Source organism: Homo sapiens, chromosome 4 (genome assembly GCF_000001405.40).
Source record: "Homo sapiens chromosome 4, GRCh38.p14 Primary Assembly".
NCBI classification, from domain to species: Eukaryota; Metazoa; Chordata; class Mammalia; order Primates; family Hominidae; genus Homo; species Homo sapiens.
The window spans coordinates 186812929-186819886 of record NC_000004.12 but is presented as its reverse complement, the minus strand read 5'-3'; positions in this window follow the sequence as shown (position 1 = coordinate 186819886).

Here is a 6958-nt window from a genome sequence, read left to right as displayed (position 1 = left end):
AGCCATGTCCATTCATGTACATAGTGCAAGTGCTTTCAGGCTATAATGGCAGAGTTGAATAGTTCCAACAGAGACCATATGGCCTGCACAGCTTAAAATATCTGCCATCTGGCCCTTCACAGAAAAGGTGGTTTATAAAGTGTGTATCATCCACAAGGTGAATCCTTCACAGGATGCCCAAGTGCTGCCCAGAGAGAATTACTGAAATCCGTAAAGCCCATCGCTGGAGAATTCAGCAGAATAATACTCAATGATCAAACTACCCAAGACCAGAGGAATAAACATTAGAAGGCTAGAGGAAACAGTGCCAAGCCCTGTCACAGAAGCAGAAATACTTCCTGTTTCTATGAGCCATATCAGAAAACATTATAAACCCGAGGCATTGGGTAGCTTACTCTCAGAAGGGTGTTGCCCCAATAAGGGAAGGATTTTTTAAAAATTCACTAAATAGAATTTTAAAAAGACTAGGCATTGCAGAAGAAAATATTCATGAACTTGAAGACAGAGAAGCATAAATTCCTGAAAATAAAATCAAAATAATAATAATAAGTAAGTGAAAAAGCATTAAAGGACTGTGGCACCATATCAAAAGGCCTGATATATGTTTCCTTGAGTCCTTGAAGGAGAGGAGAGAGAAAGGGAAACAAAACAAAAAAAAAAAATGAAGAACTAATGGCCAAAATATTTCCAAATTTGATTGAGTTATAAGCAGATTTGAGAAGCTCAACAAAAACCAAGTTTAAGAAACATGGAGAAAACTATACCAAAGTCATCTGCTCTCACCATTTCTGTTTAACCTTGTCCTACAGGTTCTAGCCAGTGCAATAATGAAAAAACAAAAACAAAAACAAAAAACCAAAAAACTAAAATTTTTTTTTCAATTCCAGACAGGAAAGAAAGAAGTAAAACTGTCTTTATTCACAGATGACAAAACTGTCTACATGGAAATTCAATGGAATCTACAAAAAAGCTACTGGAACTAATAAATGATGATAGTAAGGTTGCATGATACAAGATTAATATATGATAATCAACTGTATTTCTATATACTCATGATGAATAATTAGAAACTGAAATTTAACAAACAATACTACTAACAATAACCTCAAAACTATGAACTACTTTGGGATAAATACCTGTGTACTGCAAACTACAAAATACTACTGAAAGAAATTAAAGAAATAAAAGGAGAGATGTGCTGTTTTATGGGTCAAAGAACTCAATACTATTATGATTTGAATTCTCCCCAAATAAAACTATAGATTCAACATCTGAGGAAAAATCCCAGTAGACTCTTTTGCAGAAATTTACAAGATGATGCAAAAGTTTATATAAAAATTCAAAGGACCTACAGTAATCAAAACGAGTTTGAAAATGAAAAACAAACTTGGAAGATTTACACTACCTATTTTCAAAACTTCTTAGAAGTTACAATACCAAGGCAGTGTGCTATTGGCATCAAGATAGACAAATAGATCAATGAAAAGAATAAGATGCAAAAATAGACCCCTATATAGACAACTAATTTTTGAGAAAGGTGCAAAGGCAATTGAGTGGAGAAAGACTGGTTTTTTCAAATAAATGAGGCTGGAACAACTGAGATATTTATATTCATCAAAATAAACTTAAATCAATACATTGCACCATATAAAAAAGTTAGCTCAAAATGGATTGTAGACCTAAGTGTAAAGCCTGAAACTATAAAACTTCTGTAAAAACCTAAGAGAAAATCTCTGTGACCTTAGACTAAGCAAAAATTGCTTACACAAAACACAATAAAAACCACAAGCTGATTAATGTGACCATGTCAAAATTTAAAACTCTTACTCTTTGAACGATACCAGTAAGAAAATAAAGACAAGCTATAAACTAGAAGAAAATACTTGTAAAGTATATAACTGATAAAGACTTGCATCCAGAATGTATAAAGAATTCTCAAAAAACAGTAAGAAAGCAAACAGTAACAAATTGGCCAAAAAGTTTCAACAGATATTTCACCAAAGAAGATGCACAAATGACAAATAAGCACAAGAATAAAAACTTAACATTTTTAGGCCGGGCGCGGTGGCTCATGCCTGTAGTCCCAGCACTTAGGGAGGCCAAGGCTGGTGGATCACGAGGTCAGGAGATTGAGAGCATCCTGGCTAATACGGTGAAACCCCGTCTCTACTAAAAATACAAAAAATTAGCCGGGTGTGGTGGCGGGCGCCTGTAGTCCCAGCTACTCGGGAGGCTGAGGCAGGAGAATGGCGTGAACCCAGGAGGTGGAGCTTGCAGTGAACCGAGATTGCTCCACTGCACTCCAGCCTGGGCGACAGAGCGAGATTCTGTCTCAAAAAAAAAAAAAAAAACAAAAAAAAAAAACACAAAACTTAACATTATTAGTAATTAGCAAAGTACAATTAAACACAGTGAGACACTGCTATACACTTACTTAAACTGATAAAATTTAAAACACTGACCATACTAAATGATGGTGAATATGCAGAAAAACTAAAACTCATACATGACTGCTGGAAATGCAAAACGGTACAACTCCTTTGGAAAACATTTTTACAGTTTCTTAAAAAGTTAAACATATGTATGCTATATGATCCAGCCACTCCTCTCCTAGATATTTACCCAAGAGAAAAAAAGCGTATGTTCTTACAGAGACTTGTACATGTTCATGGCACCTTTATTTTTATTTATTTTTATTTTTTTATTTTTTAAGAGTCAAGGTTTTGCTCTGTTGCCCAGGCTGGAGTGCAGTGGTGCAATCAAAGTTCACTACAGCTTGACCTCTTAGGCTTCAGCGATCCTTCGGCCTCAGCCCCCCAAATAGCTAGGACTACAGGCACACACCACCACGCTCAGCTAATGTTTAATACCCCAAAAAGTGGAATCAATGGATTAAGTGGATCAATGGATTAAAAGTCGTGGGGGGAGGAGAGTGACTAAAAAGAGAAAAAACTTTTTACATGGGTAATGGATATGGTCAAGAGTGTTTTGAGTCTATATATATATATAGATATATATACACATGTGCATATGTATATCATAATGTATCAAATAGTACATTTTAAATATGTACAATTTAGTATAATATGTGTACTTATAGAAGGTATACTTCAATAAAGCTGCTCTAAAAAATAATATATGAAAATCTACATCACAAAAATGAATTTTACTTGGAGCTGAGCCAATTGTAATATAAATTAATTTTTTTTTTTTGAGATAGAGTCTCACTCTGTCACCCAGGCTGGAGTGCAGTGGCCTGATCTCAGCTCACTGCAACCTCCACCTCCCGGGTTCAACTGATTCTCCTGCTTCAACCTCCCAAGTAGCTGGGATTACAGGTGTGCACCACTACACCCGGCTAATTTTTGTTTTTAGTAGAGACAGGGTTTAACCATGTTAGCCAGGTTGGTCTCAAACTCCTTACCTCAAGTGATCTGCCCACTTCGGCCTCCCAAAGTGCTGGGATTACAGGCGTGAGACACTGTGCCTGGCCAAATTAATATTTATTGAGCTTGTTGTTTTCCAGGCAGTTTTACATACCTTATCACAATTAATCATCATAACACATCACATGAGATAGATACTATTGTCTTCATCTGATAGAGAAGAAAACAAGGTTCAGAGTGTTTTAGTAACTTCCTTAGTGTCACACAGCTGTGTAGTAGCAGTTTGATTTTGAACACAAAAGTCAATGCATACTCTCTGAATACACTTTGCCTCACCAACAACCTCTCTTTAATAAAAACTTTTTTTTTTTTCTGTAGAGATGGGAGTCTCGCTGTGTTACCCAGGCTGATGTTGAACTCCTGGCCTCAAGCGATCCACCCACTTCAGCCTCCCAAAGTGCTGGTATTAGAGGCATGAGCCACTGTGCCTGGCCAAAAACTATTAATAAATATATTAACTTACTACACATCCTAAAATGTGTAAGACTCTCAACTGATAGAAGACAAGCTTAAATTCCAACACTTATAATTCAAACCTACCTCTTAGAAATATTTATTATGATATAAAGGTCTACATGTAGCAAAATGTTAGAAATTTGCTAATAATTACAGCTATTTAGAAAGAGCTTTCTTATGAGGCAATAAGTTTGTTTCCTTCCCCTATAAGATAGTAAGTATTAAAACACAACTGGATATCCATATGCAAAAGAATGAAGTTGGACTCTCACCTCATGTCATATATAAAAATTACCTCAAAATGTACAAAACTGAAATGTAAGAGCTAAAACTATAAAACACTTACCCTGAGGGTAAATCTTCATGACCTTAGGTTTAGTAATGGATTCTTAGATATGACACCAACTTAAGCCTACTTTATAGAAATATTTATCACAATTTAAAGTTCCTACTTGTAGGCTGGCACAGTGGCTCACACCTGTAATCGCCTATTTGGGAGGCCAAGGCAGGCGGATCACTTGAGGTCAGGAGTTCGAGACCAGCCTGGCCAGCACAGCGAAACCTCATCTCTACAAAAATACAAACATGGTGAGGGCGAGACCCCCAACTCTACAAAAAATAAATACAAAAATTAGCCAGGCATGGTGGCACACACCTATAGTCCCAGCTACTCAGGAGGCTGAGGCAGGAGAATCGCTGACCCCAGGAGACAGAAGTTGCAGTGAGCTGAGATCACGCCACTGCACTCCAGCCTGAAAATAATAATAATAATAATAATAATAATAAAGTTCCTACTTGTAGCAAGATATTAGAATGAAATTTGCCAATATTTACATCTATTTAGAAACAGAATGGCTGTCTCATGAGGCTATACATGAGTATAAGATATGTTTCCCATAGGAACTGGTAAACAAATCAGAATTTTACACTATATTCCATAATGTTTGGTTTGCTGGAGCTTCGATCTAGAGGATTGATACCACCTCTTTCCACTCCTCCTTTCTCCCTTCCAATCTGCCACATCAGTTGTAGGAAAACAAACTACTGAAATTTTCAGCCAAGTGAGTAGTTGCTTCCAAATTGTCATAAGTTTGCAAACCACCCTATGTGTTGGCACACTATTTTAAAGAAATGAAAGTTTCTAAGAATTTAATTAGCCTTGCCATATTGTCTAGCCTTACGGATCTCCAAACATGTCATTAGCTGAGGAGTCTACAAAGGAACAAAAAGTGTTTTGTTTCTCTGTTTCACAAAGAAAAAGAAAACAGAACATGAAAACAAAAGCTTTAGTTTCCACTCTCTACAGTTTCTTATTTAAGTATATACAAAATCAAAGACAGTTTCTTTTGAATTCAATTCTATTATTAGAATCTCTGTCCAGGTGTCAACAATATTTTACACACATTATCACAACCAACTGGAATCCAAGGGTTCTGAGGTCTGGCAGAACCTGGACAGAGGTCTGAACCCTAGATAACATGCTATAAGGATGTCTCGCCAACTCACAGGTTAAATAAATAAAAAATGTCTAACAGGATCATCAACTTCTTTAACTTTTGGTTTATTCTAAAGTGTTGTCTTTTAATCCTGACAATGTTACTGGACATAGCTATTAGTGGCTTAATCGTGTTGAGGTCTACTGCTACAACCTCAATGTCACTTAAAATACCACATTAATCATAATAAATACTAGACGCATTTATGTTCAACAAACATGTGAGTGCACAAACAAGTTAGTATGTTTCATGGTACACACAGAAACAGAGCTAGAGTTACATAGGTATAGTTCTGGAAATACAGATGGATTCCGATATAAATATGAACACAGCTACCAGTACAAATGCTAATTTTACAGACTCTACAGATAAAGGTCAGGATTTACATATGTTTCTGAACTTGGAAGAAAATGTAAAGATCTCAAAGTTAACTTTTCACCAAATGTAAGAATTCCCTTTCTTTTCAGTATTCCTAACTTTGGCTTGAACGCTTCCAATGTCAGAGCTTGTGGTTTTTTTTGTTTTGTTTTGTTGGTTTTGTTTTGTTTTTGTTTTTGAGACAGTATCTCACTCTGTTGCCCAGGCTGGAGTGCAGTGGGTGATCTCAGCTCACTGAAACCTCCACCTCCTGAGGTCAAGTGATCCTCCCACCTCAGCCTCTCTAGTAGCTCAAAGCACAGGTGTGCATCACCATGCCAGACTAATTTTTGTATTTTTTGTAGAGATGGGGTCTCACCATGTTGGCCAGGCTGGTCTTGAGCTCCTTGGCTCAAGCTATCCTCCTGAGTCAACCTCCTAAAGTGCTGGGACTGGAGGCGTAAGCCACTGCACCCAGTGAGAGTTTGTACTATTTCAAAACCACTTGTTCCTTTTTAGGACAATCAAAATTTATAGAAAGTTAATCATTATAGTTAGGTTGAAATGTGCTTCACATTTTTACCCATTGGCCTTAGATCAATCAACTGAAGCTAAAATGTCTGTTCTTTTATGGGTGAAGGAAGGAAGAGGCAGTCTAGTGGAAAGAAAAGCCTATAAAAAAAGAGCATGCCGTGCTGTAAACTAACCATGGGTAAATTAACTATTAATAGGTGGTGAACTAATTTGAGAAGGTGCTTCCAGAGAATAATGACAAGAAGGGCATGTTTCATTAAGCTGGACATGCCACCTGGGCTCAGGATCTCATGTATAAAATAAAATGACAAACCGGGCGTGGTGGCATGAACTGGGGTTCTAGCTCCTCAAGAGAAGACAGGTGGGAGGATAGCTTGAGGCCAGGAGGACAAGGTTACAGTGAGCTATGAGTGTACCATTACAATCCAGCCTGGGTGACAAAGTGAGACCCTCAATCTCAAAAACATAAAAAATAAAATAATTTAACTTGTCAAGGGCCATAAGCTCAAATGCTTTCAAGAGGCAGAGAGGAAAATCAATGAACAAAAGATAAGAGGAAGTACTGGGGACTGTCAAACTGAGGAGCTCCTGCACCCCTAAAGACATTCCCAGTCAGCTTAAAAGTCATCCCACTGAGAACCCAAACACACACAGCCACACCATCTGGCT